General features: G+C 50.8%; 1 protein-coding gene, 1 long non-coding RNA gene and 1 other non-coding gene across 4 annotated transcripts in view, besides 9 other annotated features; 2 read left to right on the forward strand and 1 right to left on the reverse strand.

Annotated features, from left to right (window-relative positions):
• The window catches only part of TAF4 (TATA-box binding protein associated factor 4), a 91,084-nt gene extending 86,670 nt beyond the window's left edge, over positions 1-4,414 (reverse strand). The window contains exons 1-2 of one of the 2 annotated variants that reach the window (XM_047440429.1): positions 4,281-4,396; positions 2,984-3,991 (exon numbers count right to left, since the gene is read on the reverse strand). In XM_047440429.1, the coding sequence (XP_047296385.1) occupies positions 2,984-3,227 (244 nt within the window). In that variant the 5' untranslated portion in view covers positions 3,228-3,991; positions 4,281-4,396. Of the gene's footprint in view, positions 1-2,983 lie in introns of both variants that reach the window. The other variant, NM_003185.4, reaches the window with a different exon arrangement.
• Positions 2,104-2,617: an enhancer, noted in NCBI's record as "H3K27ac-H3K4me1 hESC enhancer chr20:60638627-60639140 (GRCh37/hg19 assembly coordinates)". NCBI's record gives its function as "activates a minimal SCP1, AML or CMV promoter by ChIP-STARR-seq in primed H9 embryonic stem cells {active_cell/tissue: H9 hESC(primed)}" and the evidence as "EXISTENCE:reporter gene assay evidence [ECO:0000049][PMID:30033119]".
• Positions 2,618-3,132: an enhancer, noted in NCBI's record as "H3K27ac-H3K4me1 hESC enhancer chr20:60639141-60639655 (GRCh37/hg19 assembly coordinates)". NCBI's record gives its function as "activates a minimal SCP1, AML or CMV promoter by ChIP-STARR-seq in primed H9 embryonic stem cells {active_cell/tissue: H9 hESC(primed)}" and the evidence as "EXISTENCE:reporter gene assay evidence [ECO:0000049][PMID:30033119]".
• Positions 3,133-3,646: an enhancer, noted in NCBI's record as "H3K27ac-H3K4me1 hESC enhancer chr20:60639656-60640169 (GRCh37/hg19 assembly coordinates)". NCBI's record gives its function as "activates a minimal SCP1, AML or CMV promoter by ChIP-STARR-seq in naive H9 embryonic stem cells {active_cell/tissue: H9 hESC(naive)}" and the evidence as "EXISTENCE:reporter gene assay evidence [ECO:0000049][PMID:30033119]".
• On the forward strand, positions 3,335-3,418 carry MIR3195 (microRNA 3195). The gene has a single exon (NR_130463.1). It is a non-coding gene; the product is annotated as a microRNA 3195 (primary transcript).
• Positions 3,647-4,161: an enhancer, noted in NCBI's record as "H3K27ac hESC enhancer chr20:60640170-60640684 (GRCh37/hg19 assembly coordinates)". NCBI's record gives its function as "activates a minimal SCP1, AML or CMV promoter by ChIP-STARR-seq in naive H9 embryonic stem cells {active_cell/tissue: H9 hESC(naive)}" and the evidence as "EXISTENCE:reporter gene assay evidence [ECO:0000049][PMID:30033119]".
• Positions 3,647-4,184: a biological region, named in NCBI's record as "H3K27ac hESC enhancer GRCh37_chr20:60640170-60640684".
• Positions 4,095-4,184: a silencer, noted in NCBI's record as "silent region_13093". NCBI's record gives its function as "represses an Ori minimal core promoter by ATAC-STARR-seq in GM12878 lymphoblastoid cells {active_cell/tissue: GM12878}" and the evidence as "EXISTENCE:reporter gene assay evidence [ECO:0000049][PMID:35858748]".
• Positions 4,445-4,554: a silencer, noted in NCBI's record as "silent region_13094". NCBI's record gives its function as "represses an Ori minimal core promoter by ATAC-STARR-seq in GM12878 lymphoblastoid cells {active_cell/tissue: GM12878}" and the evidence as "EXISTENCE:reporter gene assay evidence [ECO:0000049][PMID:35858748]".
• Positions 4,815-5,194: a silencer, noted in NCBI's record as "silent region_13095". NCBI's record gives its function as "represses an Ori minimal core promoter by ATAC-STARR-seq in GM12878 lymphoblastoid cells {active_cell/tissue: GM12878}" and the evidence as "EXISTENCE:reporter gene assay evidence [ECO:0000049][PMID:35858748]".
• Positions 4,987-7,068, forward strand: LOC105372705 (uncharacterized). The gene is made up of 2 exons (XR_936960.3): positions 4,987-5,224; positions 5,475-7,068. It is a non-coding gene; the product is annotated as an uncharacterized LOC105372705 (long non-coding RNA).
• Positions 5,190-5,703: an enhancer, noted in NCBI's record as "H3K27ac hESC enhancer chr20:60641713-60642226 (GRCh37/hg19 assembly coordinates)". NCBI's record gives its function as "activates a minimal SCP1, AML or CMV promoter by ChIP-STARR-seq in naive H9 embryonic stem cells {active_cell/tissue: H9 hESC(naive)}" and the evidence as "EXISTENCE:reporter gene assay evidence [ECO:0000049][PMID:30033119]".
• Positions 7,069-20,075: the final 13,007 nt, after the last annotated feature.

Consider the following 20,075-nt stretch of genomic DNA (forward strand, 5'->3'; position numbering starts at 1 on the left):
GGAGAGTAAATTCTGCATGAAAGCACAATAGACCAAGATACACTGAAGAAAATGTGAATTTGCCAGGCCAAAAGATAACCTTTAGAAATGAGCTTCTTTACCTTACACCGATCTGAAAAGATCTCTCAACAATTTACCAACATGCTAATGTGGGTGTCAAATCACCTTTTTCTTCTTTCAGCTGTAATCACAACCTGACTATGACGTTATGACTATCCTAAGCTGTACATAACTAGTGCTTTTCCGTGATCTTGGGACAACTGTGTCATCTGCAACAATCTCACTAAAGACTGAGTTTTCTCATTTTTCCTCAGTGAATAAAATCTAAACTCTGGCACCTCAAACCAGCAAATTACAATTACATTAACATAACTGTCTTTACAACACTGTCCTGACAAAGAATATCATGACAGCTACCTAAACCAAATTCAACATACCCGGTGTGCACTATGGGGCTGAAACACTCGGGCCTAAGGCTTAGCCTTAAAGACTTCAGGGTGAAACCTCTGTCCCCTCCCTTCTCCCACCCAAGACCTCCACGGAGGGAAGGCTGGGAAGGGCAGGCCCTTTCACACCCCATCCAATTGCCACCCGTCTGCTACTCCACTTGACACCCACATGCAGCTTTGAGAACCCTGCCCACCCCTAATACTCCCGGCTCCTCCTCAGTTTGCAAGACTGAGTTGTAATGAGAATGAGTTATTAACCAAGCAAGAGTTATTTTTATAAGTTACTTCCATCTTTGTTCTAAACATTTTTATTACGAAATATTTCAATGAAAACGGAACCAACTAGAACAATTTAATATTCTCTGATCAATCGATTACAGGAAGTAACCAGAGTATTTGCAATTTGCCATTCTGATTTACAGAATTAAGTTGTACTGTTCAAAAGAAGGTACTCTGGTTTGGGATACTGGTAGTTTTATTGATACTTTTTTTTTTTGCTTTGGTTATTATTGAAACAAATAACATAATCAAAATTCCTCATCAGTAGATCAACTGCAGGAGGCCATGAAGAGATGGGGTAAATCTCTCACTTTTTTAGATAGTAGCATTCGGCTCCTTGAAAGCACCGCTCTCAGCACTGCCACCCAAACGTCTGTGTGAGCTGTTCCTCTGTCCTCACACACAGGAATCACGCACAGTCAACACTCCTACAGTTGTTTTTCAAGTTGTCTCTTCATCAAACACACCCGACCCTAAAACTGATCTTAAAACAGAAGATGGAAGTGAGTCCCAGGATCACTCATGATAAACACAGCAGAGATGCCCTCTTCCAACCACGTATTCCTTCACCTCCTCCCAGAAGAAAGAGACAGATGAGGCTTTACCTCTGCAGTGGCTCAGAGCAAGAGGACCTGGCCAGCCCCACAAGACAGAGTCCAATACCTACCCAAAGGGGTGCAACAGGCACCTGGCCTGCGCTGAGACACGTGGGACCTCTGGAAAAACATTTTTATAAATAAAGCATTGTGACAGTTTACATAATAGATCACAGCCATCAAACATCTTTTTACAACGTTACTAAAGATCAGCCACGTTTCCTACTAAAAGGTCAACATACACATAACAGCAAAACCAAGCCTCTGGCAAAACACCCCTACAAACGCTTCAGTACCCCAAAAGCTTGTCGTAAAGGGCGTCTCAGCAACCCCGGGAAGTAGCTTCACAGCTCTCTTCCTCCCTGGAGCACTGCAGCCTAGCAGCCGCCCAGACAGGCTTTCCCCACCCCTGCCCTGTCCAGAGTCTGACCACCAGCCCCGAACCTCACATACTTGGACAAGAAATCCTTTCACTTCTGAAGATTCTGCAACCCTGTCAAAGTGACCAATAGCTCCATTCAGAGAGGGGACGCAGGAGGGACCCACGCTCTCCTTGCAGTTCCTACTACTGCTGCCACCGCGCTGCTACAACTGCACGGCACGCGTCACCACAGGCCGGGGAGGAGCTCCCCTGCCCAGCACCCACCACGGCGGCTGGGGAGGGACGGGGAGCCCCAGACAAAAGCAGCAATGCTGGCCAGGCAATCTTTCCTGTCAAACTTGAGGGGCCCTGAGGAGTCGCAGAGACAGCAGACTAGACAGGAGCGTGAGAACTGCCAGGCGGAAGTGGCGTCGGAGCCCCAGGCATCCGCAGCATAGCCAGTATCGCCCCGAGACCCCTGCACGGAGCGAGAACATCTGCTGCCACCGCCCTCCCACTGCCCTCCCGAGGGGGCAGCAACCAGAGTAGCTAGGCGCTCCTTCCTTTAGGCACCAACGCAGCTCTGGAAGAGACAGTGACACACACGGTGCTGAAACCCTACTCCACAGCGTGGCTCTCAGCAAGGCTGCGCGCCGGGAGGACTCTCGCAGGATGCGCCTGACATCTCTCCCTGCCTGGTGGCAGCAGAGGAGCCCAAGCCTTCCATCCAGAGTTCCCGAGCCTCAAGGAGGGGGCGTCGCGCCCCCGTCCTCGCCTGGAGACTGAAGAGGCTCGAGCCCAGGGTCACCAAGGGGCAGAAAGGCTAAGTGGGGACACAGGCCACACGCCTAACTGCAGAACTGAGCAGGGGACAGCTGCTGCCACTCACAGCCCCAGGTACTGCCCTCAGCTCTGCAGACCCCATCGCCTGGCCCAGGGAGCCCCTGCGCTGAGCCTACCAACCCGGGCAGGGACGCATAGGGCGGGAGCAGGTAAGGACCACTCCACTAAGAGTCCTGGCTGAGCCACTCCGAAACAGACCAGCCCCAGGCACAGGCAGCCAGCGCGGACGTCAGGGACAGCGACAGGGACGCAGGCTATGCCGACTCCCTCTGGCTCACTCGCAGACAGCCACCCGGGCTGGCCCCGCACCTGGGTAGAGACTGCCCCTCGGCCTGCTCCAGCCACGGGCCTACGGGACAGATGACCTTAGCATTCCACCAGCGGAGAACTTCCTGGAACTGGCAGCTGGCGCTGCTGGGAGCCGCCCTTCCCTCCCGCCCCGTGCGGCCACTCACCTGGGGGCAGCTGGAAGTTCTGGATGTTGGTCGGGTTCTGAGGCGGCTGCGGCAAGCGGGGGGCCAGCACGGTGGGCGTCAGGGTGGCCCGAATCCCGCTGGTGGTGGCCGTGGGCGTCCGGGACAGGCTCTGGGTCACTGCGCCGGCCGCGCCTTTGGGCAGCCCGGTGGGGGTCCCGGGGGCGGGCGGCGGGACGGCGGCCGGGCTGGGCAGCGCCCCTTGCATAGTTGGCCCGATGACCATGCTGGCCGCCGTGCTGGCCGGGCCGCTGGCCGCCAGGGTCTGCGCCGCCGGGGGCGCCGCCTGCACCACCCTCTTGGGCGACTCGGCCTTGACCCCCGGCGCCGGCGCCGCAGCCGCCGCGCCGGGCCCGGGTTGGCCGCTGACCCCCGCGGGGCCCCCGGCGGCCGGGGCGGGGGCGGGGGCTGCCCCGGCGCTGCCCCCGTTCTGGGCGGCGGCGGGGGGCGGCACGGCGGGCGCGGCGGTCGGGGGTCCGGCGGGGTGGCCGGGCGGCCGGGCCAGAGTGGCGGGCGCGGGGGGTGGCGGGGGCGGGGCGGCGGCGGGGGCGGCGGGCGCGGGGGCGGCGGGGGGCGAGGGCGCGGCGGGCGCGGGGGGCGCGGCGGCGCCCACGAAGGGGGGCGTCTGGATGACAGTGCCGGGGGCGGCGGGCTTGGGCAGCGGCAGCAGCGCGGCGGGCCCGTTGTTGACCAGGCTGACAGCAGGTGCGGCGGCGTGGTGCGAGTTCAGCAGCGCGGCGCTCCCATTCAAAGTTTGCGCGGCGCCGGGGCCGGCGGGCTTGCCAGGGCCAGGGCCGGGGCCGGGGCCGGGGCCGGGCCCGGGGCCGGGGCCGGCGCGGGCGGCCAGCGCGGCGGGGCCGGCGGGCTTGGCGGGGCCGGCGGGGGCGGGCTCGGGCCCCGCGGCGACGGCGGCGGCGGCGGGCACCGGGGCGCAGGACCCCGCGCTGCCCTCGGGCGGCGGCCTCAGCTTCGCGGCGGGCGGCGCGGGCCCTGCGGGGACAAGGGGGCGGCGCGGTGAGGGGGGGCCCGGGCGCTGCGGCCCCCCGCCCCCCGGCCGCGCTCTACCTGCGGGGGGCGGCTCCGGCGCCGCTCCGGGCGCGCCCTCGGCGGGGGCGGCCGGCCCTGCGCCCGCGGCTCCGGCCGGGCTGCCGCTCACAACATGGTTCCCGAGCGCGCCGGCGGCCGCGGCCCGCACCTCGGGCGTGCGCGGCGCGAGGTGGTGGTGGTGGGCCGCGCTGGCCGCCAGCTGCGACTCCAGCGAGCCCACCAGGTCGCTCACCACTTTCTCGTCCACCTCGCTGTTGAAGAAGACCTCGTCCAGCAGATCCGAGCCCGCCGCCATCTTTTTTCCTCGGCCGCCGCCGCCGCCGCCGCTCGGGCCGAGCGCGCCTGGGCGAGGAGGAGGTTCCGACTGGGGCGGGCGCTGGGCGGGCGGGGGGCGGCGCGCGGCCGGCGGGGGGCGGGGGCGCGCGGCCGGGGGGCGGGGGAGCGGGGGTGGCGGCCCTGCGCAGGCGCGGAGACCGCGGGCGCCCGGCGATTGGCTGCGGCGCGCGCTTAAAAGGCGCGGCCAATGGCTGCGAGCGCTAGAGGCCGGGGCGCGGGCGGTCGGCCGGGGTGCGGCAGCAGCGGCGGGAAGCGCGGGGGCTGGAGCTCAGGGGCGCGGGCGCCGGGGCGGTGGCGGACGGGGAGGGGGCCGCCGGGCGGGGCGCGGGATGCGGGAACGGTGCGCTGGGCCGGGCCGAGGCGGGCGCGGGGCGGCGACGGGGCCTCGCTCTTTGTCTCGGCTCGCTCCAAAATGGCTGCGGCGGCGCTGACGGGAGCGCCGGGCGGGCGCCGTGCGCGGTGGCAGCGGCGGCGCAGGGCCCGTCCGAGGCCCGGGGAACAGCGCGCGGGGATGCCGGGGCGCCGCCGGGCGGCGCGCAGGCCCTGGAGTGGATGGGCCTGGGAGGCGGGCGGGAACGGGGAGGGGACTGTCGCAGCGCGCCCTGGGGACGGGGACCGGCGCCCGGCCCCTCCAAGCCGCCGCGGGGAAGCTGGGTCCGCCTCTGGCTCAGCCGGTCCCGGGCGGTGGGGAGGGGTCCTGCGCGCACGGCTCTTCTCGCCCTCCAATCGTGACCACCCCTGGCCCTTCCCTCCATTTTTAATCAATAAACCCAGCCGCCCCGGGCTGACTGTCCCCGCACCCAGCTGCCTTGGAGACAGGAGTGTCGTATAAGCCCGTAGGTAAGAGCACGGTGCTTGCCAGGCGCCAAACGAAGTTCCCGAGCCTGAAGCCGGCACGTCTGGAAGTAGCTTTTTTTACCTTCTGCTGGGGGAGGGGAGTAAGTTACCTAAAGTGTTCCCAAGCACCTTCTCTCTAGAAATACTTCAGTAAAAGTTCCAGTCCCCTCTTTCTGCGTGTTTTATTTTCCAACCAAAAGATGGTGTTATTGGACATTTCTAGTGGTTTTCCTTTCTCTCATTTCTTCCTAAGAGCCCAGAATAGGTTTCAGAGAGACGCTTCCTTGCCTCGGACCTCACTGGGGCCAAGAGGCCACAGGGTCAGTCTTCGCAGCTGAAGACAGCGCCGCAATAAGCAGAGACCTCGGGACGATGAATGACGTTGCTGACAAAGAAAATGATTTTTTTAATTGCTTTAACAAAGGAGACTGCTAGTCTCGAAAGCAGACCCGAACTGGACCCTTGTGCCTGTTCGAACTGTAGCCTTGCAAAGGAATGGACTTACTGATAACTGGAATACGGGACTTCACCCCAGGCTTGTTTCTCGACAGCAGCAGCAGCCAATGAGCATTGAGGACGGAGCCTAGGAGAGGTGCCTCCCCTATAGGGGAACAGTGTTTGGGGGAAATCACTGCAAACGTACAGCTGGAGTTTTGTACCTGAACTTTGGCTCCCAGAAGGCAGGAAAGGAAATGAATGAAGCAAGCTGAGTATGGCGGGGAGGGCCCCTGTGGGTACACCTACGGAGCACCTTGAGCTCAGTAGGGGGACAGTCTGAGTTTTCCAGAAAGAACAGAAATATAAAGTGATGATTAAATCTCGGGATTTTTAATTTTTGAGTGTTGACAACTAATTAGAACATTTTTAAAGCAGGTCAAAGCACAGGCAGGCTAACTGGCCCCACGCACAACTTGCAAGGTGGGGCGCACCAGGCTCACTGCACAGCCCATACCCACAGACCCCTCAGATTGGAGTCGGGGCAGAAGCAGAACGCAGGACTCGCAGGAAACAGACCAGGTTCCAAGGCCCCCAGGGTCCCAAAGGCTGGGGTAACTGAAGGTTCCCACGCTCAGGCCTCCACTCTTCAAGTCCGCTGCTACTCCACTGAGATCTGTAATGAGTCTCCTGCCATCTACGCACAGTGGTGACTCCTCTTCTCCAAGGCCCCGCCAGGAGTCTTTCATTCCAACGTGTTCGCAGGATCTTCTGGGGAACCGTCCAGCCTGGCAGCTGCAGGAACTGCGAGAAGTTAAGGGTCTGTGCCCACCTATTCCAGCTTCCCTTGCAAGGAGGGTGTTGGGCACCAGAAGGCCCTGGGGAAAGTGGGAGCCGCAGACAGCCAGGCAGCTCTTCTATGTCTGGGGTTTGCAGGAGCACTGCCTTCCGGGGGGGGGGGGAGGGGAGGCGGGTGAGGACAGCACGTGACTTCCCCTCCTAATGTTCATGTGGTGGGGAGTCACCCTGGGGGCCTCCCGCCAAATTTTAGTATCTCTGTGATTTTAGTTGTTGCCCCAAGCAGTTAGGACTTGTGTAGTTTGAAAGAAAAATCTCACCCAGCATAAAAAGAGAAAAGGGGGAATTGTAACAAATGTTAATCATAAGCACTGTTTCAACCCGGAAAAATGTTTGCTGCCAGGCTGTGGGCAAAGAGGTGGCCTCGGCGGCTGGCAGCTCAGTGGGCCTTCCAAGTTTACTAAGCAGGGTCTTGTATTTTTAAATAAAATAGAGCATCAGACACGCTCACTTAAATATAAAAAATAATAAAAACAAGTTTTGAATTAAGTTTAAGACACATTAAGAATAAAACAAATCTAAGAATAAAGGGAATCAGTGATTTCCAAGCTGCAGGCTGTGTGAAAGTTCTGTGGTGTTTGTTAGGTGACCTGTGCTTTTATTGTCTGCCTGACAGCCCTCATCATAAAACAATTTTTTAAAAAAAAAGCCAGCGCCAGCTCACGCCTATAACTGCAGGGTTTTAGGAGGCTGAGGCAGGAGGATGGTCTGAGCCCAGGAGTTCAAGACCAGCCTGGGCAACAAAGCAAGACACGGTCTCTACTAAAAACAGGTTTTTTTAATTAGCCAAGCGTGGTGTTGTGCACCTGTGGTCTCAGCTATTTGGGAGATTGGAGCAGAAGGATCACTTGGGCCCTGGAGTTCAAGGCTACAAGTGAGCTGTGATCGTGCTGCTATGATTGTGCCACTGCGCTCCAGGCTGGGCGACAGAATGAGACCCCTTCCCCCCACCCACTCCGCAAAGAAAAAGGCGTGCAGCTAGATAGCAGCTGAATGTTTTTGGGGTGTCCACCAGCCCCGCTGGCAGCGTTCGTCAGTCTTGCAGACTCAGGGGGGATGTCTCTGGTCACAAATGAATCCACATCCCAGGGAGAAACTTGTGGCCACCTAATTGCTCTGTAAATGCAGAGGGATGCGTTTCTCAAGGCTGCCTTAACGAATGATCACAAACGTATGCAACTTCAACAACAGGTGGATTCTCACAGCTGTAGAAGCCAGAACCAGGGTGTGGGCAGGGCTGCACTCCCTCTAGAGGCTCTAGGGGAGGATCCTTCCTGCTTCCTCCAGCTTCCGGTGGCTCCAAGCATTCCTGGGCTTGTGGTCACATCACTCCAGTCTCTGTCTTCTCCTGACCTTCTCCCTGTGTGTCTGTGTCCTCTCCTTTTATAAGGATACCAGTCATTGGATTCAAGACCTCCCTAAATCCAAAACGATTTCATCATGAGATCCTTTACCAATTATGTCTGCAAAGCCCCTGCTTCCAGATAAGGTCACATCCTCATGTTCTGGTGGATATGGTTTGAGGGGACACTATTCAAGCTAGTATACGGGATGGCTACTTACTGTTCACTTACAGGGAGACCTTTGGTAAGAGGCACTTAGCCTGGCCCCTTCACCCTGGGACACAAGTCTGGGGAGGCTGGAGCCTGAGACAGTAGCCTGTGACTTGAGAGTTCCGGAGTAGAGAAGTCCACTGGCCAAGACACCTCCAACCCCTGCCCTGCTTTCCCAAGAAAATGAGGATTCTCAGATCTGCTCGGCCAGGACTCTCTCGCCAGGGTCAGGGCTTGGCCAGGCACTAGCATTAATCAGGCCTGACACGTGATCAAGGGCCAGGTGGAGCCTGTTGTACAGATGAGGGGGGACTGGAGCTTGAAGTTAAGTCAGCAGCCCAGGTTTCATTCTTGGAAGGGGCAGAAACCTTGGACTTGGACCCCAAAGCTGGCAGAGCTGGCACTGCGCAGTTGACCAGCCCATGCATCCACACACCAGGCGCCACGGATTAGATGCCTGCTCACTAAATTATAGTCAAGAGTCAGGCCTGCTTCCTCCCTGAAATTGACCCAGATCTCCCAAGCGGGGCTGTCTGCAAACTCTTGAGTGACTCATTTACAACAGCCTCTTGGCTGACTCCCACAAATGGCTAACCATAGCCATCGCGGATGGATTTTACTAGCTTAACTCAGACAGCAGCGCATTTCAAAGCTCAGGAGTAAACGGCGTTGTCCTGATGGCACTCCAACAAGTCAGCCTTCCTGGGACGCTTCCTCCTTCCCAAGGTGCAAGCAAGAAATGACCTTTCCGGTGAGAGAAGCCTGTGGCCTCTAGACTCCTCCCTAACCTGGAAAGGTGCAACGCTACTGGGCTCCACTTTCTAAGCACGAGGTCCACCCAGGAGTTTCTTAGGAGTGCTATTGTTGCTTTGGTTACTTCCTAAAATAACTTTCCCCATATTCTGTTCACATACCCAGTTTATAAAACCCAAGCACCTCCTGGCTGGGCGCAGTGGCTCACACCTATAATCCCAGCACTTTGGGAGGCCAAGGTGGCCAGATCATCTGAGGTTCAAGACCAGCCTGGCCAACGTGGCAAAAGCCCATCTCTACAAAAATACAAACTGTAGCCGGGCATGATGGCAAGTGCCAGTAGTTCCAGCTACTGAGCCCAGGAGGTAGAGGTTGCAGTGAGCTGAGATTGTGCCATTGCAATCCAGCCTGGGTGATAGAGGAAGACACTGCCCCCCTGCCAAAAACAAAAACAAAAAAACCACCTTCCTAAAAACCTTTAGTTCCATTGCAGGTGCTTTGGAAGATTTAACAAACCACAGGTTTGTCATTGGTAAAGTTTGCTCAGTAAGCATAGTTAGGATGGGACATATAAAGCTAAGATAATAGATGCTGACCATCAAGCGTCAATTTGAGTGTAAAAAATGAAACTTTTAAAGTAAGACCCTTTACAAGAGCATCAAAAACCAAATACCTGAATATCAAACTAACAAAAAGAAATGTAAGACCTATAGTCAGAAGATTGTAAACCATGATTGAGAGAAATTAGGGGAAAAAAAATACACAGAGGGATACACTGGGTTCGAGTCAGAGGCTCAATACCGCATTGCCAAGTCAATCCTAAGCCAAAAGAACAAAGCTGGAGGCATCACACTACCTGACTTCAAACTATACTACAAGGCTACAGTAACCAAAACAGCATAGTACTGGTACCAAAACAGAGATATAGACCAATGGAACACAACAGAGCCCTCAGAAATAATACCACACATCTACAACTATCTGATCTTTGACAAACATGACAAAAGAAATAGGGAAAGGATTCCCTATTTAACAAATGGTGCTGGGAAAACTGGCTAGCCATATGTAGAAAGCTGAAACTGGATCCCTTCCTTACACCTTGTACAAAAATTAATTCAAGATGGATTAAAGACTTAAACGTTAGACCTAAAACCATAAAAACCCTAGAAGAAAACCTAGGCAATACCATTCAGGACACAGGCATGGGCAAGGACTTCATGTCTAAAACACCAAAAGCAATGGCAACAAAAGCCAAAATTGACAAATGGGATCTAATTAAACTAAAGAGCTTCTGCACAGCAAAAGAAACTACCATCAGAGTGAACAGGCAACCTACAGAATGATGGGAGAAAATTTTTGCAATCTACTCATCTGACAAAGGGCTAATATCCAGAATCTACAATGAACTCAAACAAATTTATAAGAAAAAAACAACCCCATCAACAAGTGGGCGAAGGATATGAACAGACACTTCTCAAAAGAAGACATTTATGCAGCCAACAGACACATGAAAAAATGCTCATCATCACTGGCCATCAGAGAAAGGCAAATCAAAACCGCAATGAGATACCATCTCACACCAGTTAGAATGGTGATCTTTAAAAAGTCAGGGAGCAACAGGTGCTGGAGAGGATGTGGAGAAATAGGAACACTTTTACACTGTTGGTGGGACTGTAAACTAGTTCAACCATTGTGGAAGTCAGTGTGGCGATTCCTCAGGGATCTAGAACTAGAAATACCATTTGACCCAGCCATCCCATTACTGGGTATATACCCAAAGGACTATAAATCATGCTGCTGTAAAGACACATGCACACTTATGTTTATTGCGGCACTAGTCACAATAACTTGGAACCAACCCAAATGTCCATCAATGATAGACTGGATTAAGAAAATGTGGCACATATACACCATGGAATACTATGCAGCCATAAAAAATGATGAGTTCATGTCCTTTGTAGGGACGTGGATGAAGCTGGAAACCATCATTCTCAGCAAACTATCACAAGGACCAAAAACCAAACACCGCGTGTTCTCACCCATAGGTGGGAATTGAACAATGAGAACACATGGACACAGGAAGGGGAACATCACACACTGGGGCCTGTTGTGGGGTGGGGGGAGCGGGGAGGGATAGCATTAGGAGATATACATAATGTAAATGACGAGTTAATGGGTACAGCATACCAACATGGCACATGTATACATATGTAACAAACCTACACGTTGTGCACATGTACCCTAGTACTTAAAGTATAATAAAAAAATTTAAAAAAAAAGAGTCAGAGGCTCAATATTGTAAAAATGTCATTTCTCCCAAAATGATCTACAGATTGTACACAAAATGAATATTTAAATCCAAGCTTTTTTATTTATTTATTTACAGAAATGGACAAGCTGGGCTTCTGTTTCCGGTATGGTGGAGTAAACGCCTATTGAACTAACCCTTCCAAAGGCAGCACTATAAACTCTGGGCAAAATAGGAAACAACACTTACCTGAAGTCACCAGAGCGTGAACACAGCAGGCACATTCTGAAGGTGTCAACACTTGGAAGAGGAAAACGGTACCGGGTTTTCACAGCTCCTAGACTAAAGTCAGGTAACAGGCCATGCCATGCAGGGCAAATAAAACTCCAATAAAAAGCCATAGGTTTTTCTGGCTAGAAAAGCTAGAAGACAAGTGTGATGGTTAATATTGAGTGTCAACCTGATTGGCTTGAAGGATGGAAAATATTGATCCTGGGTGTGTCTGTGAGGATGTTTCCAAAGAAGATTAACATTTGAGTCAGTGGACTGGGAGAGGCAGCCCCACCCTCAATGTGAGTGAGCACCATCTAATCAGCTGCCAGCATGGCTAGAATAAAGCAGGCAGAAGAAGGAGGAATGAGCAGACTTGCTGAGTTCTGGCCTCCATTTTTCTCCTGTGCTAGATGCTTCCTGCCCTCAAACATCAGACTCCACGTTCTTTGGCTTTTGGACTCTTGGCCTTTGTGATTTGCCAGGGGCTCTCAGGCCTTCACCCACAGACTGAAGGCTGCACCGTCGGCTTCCCTACTTTTGAGGTTTTGGGACTCAGACTGATCCACTACTGACTTCCTTGCTCCTCAACTTGCAGACAGCATATTGTGGAACTTTACCTTGTGATGATGTGAGTCAGTTCTCCTTAATAAACTCCCCTTCCTATATACAACTATCCTATTCTGTCCCTCTAGAGAACGCTGATCATACAGTACATTGGTACCAGAAGTGGGGTGATCAGCCAGCTACTTGGTGGCGGGTTGATTATATTGAAACTCTTCCACCATGGAAAGGGCTGTGGTTTGTCCTCACCAGTATAGACACTTACTCCAGATATGGGTTTGCCTATCCTGCACTCAATGCTTCTACCAAGACTACCATCCGTGGACTCACAGAATGCCTTATCCACCATCATGGTATTCCATACAGCATTGCCTCTTACCAAGGTACTCACTTTACAGCTAAAGAAGGGCAGCAGTGGACTCAGGCTCGTGGAATTCACTGCTTGTACCACATTCCCCACCATCCCAAAGCAGCTGGATTGATTGAATGGTGGAATGGCCTTTTGAAGTCACGGTCACAATGGCAACTAGGTGAGAATACTTTGCAAGACTGGGGCAGAGTTCTCCAGAAGGCCATGCATGCTCTGAATCAGCATCCGACATATGGTACTGTTTCTCCCATAGCCAGGATGCACAGGACCAGAAATCAAGGGGTGGAAATGGAAGTGGCACCACTCACCATCACCCCTAGTGACCCACTAGCAAACTTTTTGCTAGTTGAACTAACCACAACCTCTTGAAAGTATGGGAGCATCGCAGAAAGGAGAGAGCTGCAGATCCAAATTCTGTTGATACTCTTTGTCTAAATCTCTAGTTGAGCACTGAACTACATGTATGGGACAGACTCCAAGCAACTCGACCTAGAATAAAACAACAGAAATGAGATTTGAGCCACTGTCCAAGGGACTGGGTTTGCAGTCTCAGTTCCATCAAGCCGATTGTTTGCTACCACACACACACACACACACACACACACACACACACACATATCAATGCTCTACTCCAAACTGTCACAATGTTCAGGATAAAATTCAAAATTACTGAATATACAAAGAAAAAAATTGTTATACATTCTCCATCCTACTGGAAATTGACCCGATAGGACTCAGATTGATGAATTCGCAAACAAGGATTTTAAAGCAACTATTGTAATTGCTGCTGTAAAGGAAGATACACTTTTCTTTTTTTGAGACAGTCTCACTCTGTTGCCCAGGCTGGAATACAGTGAGACCGTCTCAGCTCACTGCAGATTTTGACTCTCAGACTCGAGATCCTCCCACCTCAGCCTCCCAAGTAGCTGGGACTACAGGTGTGCACCACCACACCTGGCTAATTTTTTTTTTTTTTTTTTTTTTTGGTACAGACAGCAGGGTTTCACCATGTTGCCCAGACTGGTCTCGAACTCCTGGGCTCAAGTGATCCACCCACCTCTGACTCCCAAAGTGCTGGGATTATAGGTGTGAGCTACTGCACCCAGCCAAAAATACACTTTTAACAAGATTTTAAAATCGCAACAGATAATTAGAAACATTTTTTTTTGAGACAGGGTCTCACTCTGTTGCCCAGGCTGGAGTGCGGTGGCACAATCATGGCTGACTGCAGCCTTGACCTCTCAGCTACGGTGATTCTCCCCCCTCAGCCTCCCTAGTAACTGGGACTACAGTCTCCCGCCAGCATGCCCAGCTAACTCTTTTGTATTTTTTGTAGCATGGAGGATTCTCCATGTTGCCCGGGCTGGTCTTGAACACCTGGCCTCAAGCAATCCTCCTGCCTCAGCCTCCCAAAGTACTGGGGTTACAGGCATGAGCCACCATGCCTGGCAGAAACTGTATTTTTAAAATGGAAATTTTAGAACTGCAAATTAGAATATATTAAATATAAAGTTAACTGAATGAGTCTAACAGAAGAGTGGAGATTAACTCAGTTAACTTGAAGATAAATCAATAGAATGTATCCAATCTAAAAAAGAAAGGATGGGGGGAAAACAAGAAGAACCTCAGGACCTGTGAAACAATATCAAAAAGCCTATAACATGTGTAGTCAAAATTACAAAAAGAGAGGAGAGAAGAAATGAGGCAGGAAAAAGTATTTGAAGAAACACTGCCTAGAATTTCTATAATAAGAGACAAATTTACATATTTAAGAAGTTTCATTATCCCCAACTGGGATAAACTCAAACAAAACCATGTGTAGGTACATCATAGTCAAGTTGCTGGAAAGCAAATCTAAAAACAAAATTCCTAAAAGTAACTGTACAAAAACACATTTCAAGTCCAGGCGCAGGGACTCGTGCCTGTAATCCTAGCATTTTGGGAGGCCAAGGTGGGCCGATCACTTGAGACCAGGAGTTCAAGACCAGCCTGGCCAACATGACAAAACCCCATCTCTACAAAAATACAAAAATTAGCCGAGTGTGGTGGTGCACGCCTGTAGTCCCAGCTGCTTGGGAGACTGAGAGGCAGGAGAATCACTTGAACCCAAGGCAGAGGTTGCAGTGAGCTAAGATCATGCAACTGCTCCAGCTTGAGCAACAGAGTGAAACTTTGTCTGGAGAAGAGAAAAAAAAGAAAATTTCAGGCAGGGGAACAAATAAATTAAAACTGATGACTTCTCATCCGAAACTATGGAAACCAGAAGAGAGTGGAAGAACATCTTTAAAGTATTGAAGTAAAACTTTTTAACCCATTTGTAGACTGTCGAACTATCTTTCAAGAATGAAGGTAAATAGGCCGGGCGCAGTGGCTTGCGCTTGTAATCCCAGCACTTTGGGAGGCCGAGGTGGGCAGATCATGAAGTCAGGACATCGAGACCATCCTGGCTAACACAGTGAAACCCCGTCTCTACTAAAAATACAAAAAGAAATTAGCCAGGCGTAGTGGTGGGTGCCTGTAGTCCCAGCTACTGGGGAGGCTGAGGCAGGAGAATGGTGTGAACCCGGGAGGCGGAGCTTGCACTGAGCTGAGGTCACACCACTGCACTCCAGCCTGGGCAACAGAGCAAGACTCCGTCTCAAAAAAAAAAAAAAAAACAGGGTAAATAAACACATTTTCGCATAAAAAAATTGACATAATTCATCACCACCAGACCTGTTTTATAAGAATTGCTGTCTGGGCACGGTGGTTCATGCCTGTAATCCCAGGACTTTGGGAGGCCGAGGCAGGCGGATCACGAGGTCAGGAGATCAAGATCATCCTGGCTAACACAGTGAAACCCCGTCTCTACTAAAGATACAAAAAATTAGCCGGGCGTGGTGGCAGGCGCCTGTAGTCCCAGCTACTTGGGAGGCTGAGGCAGGAGAATGGCATGAACCCAGAAGATGGAGTTTGCAGTGAGCCAAGATTGTGCGACTGCACTCCAGCCTGGGCGACAGAGCGATACTCCGTGTCCAAAAAAGAAAAAAAAAGAATTGCTGAAGAAATTTTTCAGGCTGAAGGAAAATGATCCCAGATGGAAATTTGATCATCAGGAAAGAATAAAAGCATCAGAAATGGTAAATAGTAGATTAAATTTTAAAAAACAATTTTCCTCTTACTTTAAAATATATGTCAGTATAAATGAAAAATTACAACATCAAACTGTGAGATTTTGACTCTGTAGATGGAATACACTCAACTGTAGCAAAAAATGAAACTATGATATTGGAAGTTTTCTACATTTTATATGAAGTGGCACAATATTAAAGAAGACTATTATAAATTAAGAATGTGTATGATAATCCCTAAAGCAACCACTAGAAAAGCAACACAAAGAGGTATAGATAAAAATCCAATAGATAAAATAGAATGCTAAAAGTTTTCAAATAATCCCAAAAAAGCAGAAAAAGAGGAAATTTTAGAAGGAATGAACATAGGACAAATAGTAAAATGATAGACCTAAATTCCACCAATTAATCATATTAGATTTTTTTTTTTTGAGATGGAATCTCACTCTGTCGCCCAGGCTAGAGTGCAGTGGTGTGATCTCGGCTCACTGCAACCTCTGCCTCCCAGGTTCAAGTGATTCTCCTACCTCAGCCTCCTGAGTAGCTGGGATTACAGGCGCACACCACCATGCTCAGCTAATTTTTATATTTTTAGTAGAGACAGGGTTTCACCATGTTGCCCAGGCTGGTCTTGAACTTCTGACCTCAGGTGATACACCCAGGTGATCTGCCAACCTTGGCTTCCCAAAGTGCTGGGATTAAGGACATGAGTCACCGTGCCAGGCCTTAATCATCATATTAGATTTAAATGCATTAAGCACGTCAATTAAAAAGGATAGAAAGACAAGACTACAGATTTCAAGAGAGATGCTTTAGAAAAGATATGGTATGCAAACAGTAAGCCTAGCAAGGCTAGGTGGCTATGTTAACATCAAATAAAATAAACTTCAACACAAAGAACCTTCTCAGAGATAAAAAGAGACACTGCATAATGATAAAATGGTTAACTCATAAGAAGAAAGAAATGATAAATTGATATGTGCCTCAAAACAGTTTCAAGGCCAGACATGGTGGCTTAGGCCTGTAATCTCAGTGCTTTTGGAGGCTAAGGTGGGGGAGCCACTTGAGGCCAGGAGTTTGAGACCGTCCTGGGCAACATAGTGAGACCCCCATCTGTACAAAAAGTTTAAAAATTAGCTGGGCATGGTGGCACACACTTGTAGTCCTAGCTACTTGGGAGGCTGAGGTGGGAGGATCACTTGACCAGGAGTGAGAGGCTAGAGTGAACTGTAATTGTTCAGGCAGGGGAACAAAGAATCAAAACTCATGACCTCGTCAGAAACTATGGAAACCAGAAGAGGGTGGAAAAACATCTTTAAAATATTGAAATGAAACTTTCTAACCTCTTTGTAGACTGTCAAATAACAGGCAAAACTTTTAGAATGAAGCATGCATTTAATCTTAGGGCAAAAATTCTCTCAAAAGTAAGCACACAAAGTGCTAAACCTGTCCAGGCACCGTGGCTCACGCCAGTAATCCTAGCTCTTTGGAAGGCTGAGATGGGAGGATCACTTGAGGCCAGGAGTTTGAGACCATCCTGAGCAGCATGGTGAGACTTCATCTCTACCAAAACTTTAAAAATTGGCCAGACATGGCCAGGTGCAGTGGCTCACGCCTGTAATCCCAGCACTTTGGGAGGCCGAGGCGGGCAGATCACAAGGTCAGGAGATCGAGACCATCCTGGCTAACACACTGAAACCCCTCTCTACTAAAAATACAAAACAAAAAAAAAATTTGCCGGGCATGGTGGTGGGCACCTGTAGTCCCAGCTACTCGGTAGGCTGAGGCAGGAGAATGGCATGAACCCAGGAGGCGGAGCTTGCAGTGAGCCGAGATCACGCCACTGCACTCCAGCCTGGGTGACAGAGCAAGACTCCATCTCAAAATAAATAAATAAAATTAGCCACACAAGGTGGCAAACACTTGTAGTCCCAGCTACACAGGAGGCTGAGCTGGGAGGATCACTTGAGCCCAGGGGTTCAAGGCTGCAGTGATGTATGATTGCACCACTGCACTCCAGCCTAGGCAACAGAGTGAGACCCTGTCCCATCCCCCCCAAAAAGTGCTAAACCCTATAAAGGAAAAAAAATTGATAAATTGTGTGACGTTAAGAACTCTTCATGGGCTGGGTGCAATGGTTCACACTTGTAATCCCAGCACTTTGGGAGACCAAGGCAGGCAGATCACTTGAGCTCAGGAGTTTGAGACCAGCCTGAGCAACATGGCGAAACCCCATCTCTACAAAAAGTACAAAATGAGTTGGGCATCATGCATGTGCCTGTAGTCCCTGCTACTTAGGAGGCTGAGGTAGGAGGATTGCTTGAGCCCAGGAGGTTGAGTCTGCAGTGAGCCATGATCATGCCATTGCAGTCCAGCCTGGGTGACAAAGTGAGACCTTGTCTCAAAAAAAAAAAAGAACCTCTCATCAAAACCATTACAAGAATGGAAAGACAGCTGACAGAGTAGAAGACATATGCACTGTACAAAAATAAGCGAAAGACTGGAACAGGCACTTCACAAAGAGGATGGCCAGATGGCCAGCAGGGGTGTAAAAAGATGCTCAACCTTATTAGTCATCAGGGGAATTTGAATTAAAACCACTGCAGACCCACCAGCACAGCCAAAATTAAAAGGACTGACAACACCTAGTGTTGGTAAGGAGCACTCACTGAGGAGACAGGAGTCAGTTCAGCCACTGTTGAAATTGCTTGGCCATTTCCACTAAAGTTGTATAACTGCTCAGCATCTGGCTCAGCAACTCTACTCCATATGCACCCAGAAGAAATGAGTCCTTCTGTGCCCCAAGAGAAGTCCCTGGACATCCCAGCAGCACGTTAATATTCAAAACAGGAACAACCAAAATTTCCATCAACAGTAAAATGGAGAAATAAATGGTAACCTGTTCATCTAACAGCATTAGATGGGTGTTGTATTAGTTCATGCTCACATTTCTATAAGAAAATACCCAAAACTGGGTAATTTATTTTATTTTATTATTTTTTGAGATGGAATCTGACTCTTGTTGCCCAAGCTGGAGTGCAGTGGCACGATCTTGGCTCACTGCAACCTTTGCCTCCCAGGTTCAAGTGATTCTCCTGCCTCAGCCTCCTGAGTAGCTGGGATTACAGGCATGTGCCATCACGCCTGGCTGATTTTTCTATTTTAGTAGAGACGGGGTTTCACCATGTTAGCCAAGCTGGTCTCAAACTCCTGACCTCAGTTGATCCACCTGCCTCCGCCTCCCAAAGTGCTGGGATGACAGGCATGAGCCACCTCGCCGGGCCAACAGGGTAATTTATAAAGGAAAGAGGTTGAATTGACTCACAGTTGAGCATGGCTGGAGAGGCCTCAGGAAACTTACAATCATGGTAGAAGGCAAAGGAGAAGCAGGCACCTTCTTCACAGGGCAGCAGGACGACGGAGTGAGTGCAGCAGGGGAAATGCCAGATGCTTATAAAACCATCAGATCTCGTGAGATTCACTCGTTGTCGCAAGAACAGCAGGGGGGAACCACCCCCATGATCCAATTACCTCCACCTGGTCCCACTCTTGATACGTGAGAGAGCTCACTCACTGCGGCTTCAACCTCCTGGGCTCAAGTGATCCTCTCCCCTCAGCTTCCCGAGTAGTTGGGACCGCAAGTGTATGCCAAGAACTCTTTGTGTCTTGCAGGATTGAAACTCTACACCCATTAAACACTAACTCCTCATTCTCTCTCCCTGAACATATCTTTTCCAGTGACACTATTCAACCTTCCCCAGAGCACCACATTTTCATTTTGCACCAGCCTCTGCAAATTCTGGAACTGCTCCTGGCTCACATCTACTGCCAAGTCCTCCTGTGTCTATGGGAGAAGAGTCATCCCTGTCCACAATGACATGTGTGCCTTCACACTGGGGCAAGTGTTAAGGAAAAATGGGTAACTTGAGTGCCACATACACCACATCCAGCTCGCAAGAACCAGCTGTTGTGTCTCTTCCCAACGCCATGTTCAGTGACATCACACTGACAGCTTGAAACCAGCCAGGGTGGGGGCATTTCCACCAAGGACGTTGGCAGACGCTATGCCTCGGGGGGCATTGGCAGACACTATGCTTCGGGGCTTTTTTTCCTTAGGGAGACAGTTATTAAACACTTAGCAGTACCCACCTAGATAGTCAATGTCTGACTCTAGAGCCTCACAGTTTGCTTGAGGTAGTAAAACCTACAAGTCTTAAATAACTTATGAATGTTGGCCAGGTGCGGTGGCTCATGCCTGTAATCCCAGCACTTAGGGAGGCCGAGGCAGGCAGATCACAGGGTCAGGAGATCGAGAAAATCCTGGCTAACATGATGAAACCCCGTCTCTACTAAAAATACAAAAAATAGTTAGCCGGATGTGGTGGCGGGCGCCCATAGTCCCAGCTACTCGGGAGGCTGAGGCAGGAGAATGGTGTGAAGCCGGGAGGCGGAGCTTGCAGTGAGATTGCACCACTGCACTCCAGCCTGGGAGACAGAGCAAGACTCCATCTGAAAAAAAAAAAAAAAAAAAAAAGAATGTCGATGAGGCCACTTTTGGATTATATCCAAAAGAAGTGAAAGCAGCATCTCGAAGAGATATTTTCACGCTCATGTTCATAGCAGCTTTATTATTATTTTTTTTGAGATGGAGTCTTGCTCTGTCACCCAGGCTGGAGTGCAGCAGCATGAACTC

This window comes from Homo sapiens, chromosome 20 (genome assembly GCF_000001405.40).
Source record: "Homo sapiens chromosome 20, GRCh38.p14 Primary Assembly".
NCBI lineage: Eukaryota > Metazoa > Chordata > Mammalia > Primates > Hominidae > Homo > Homo sapiens.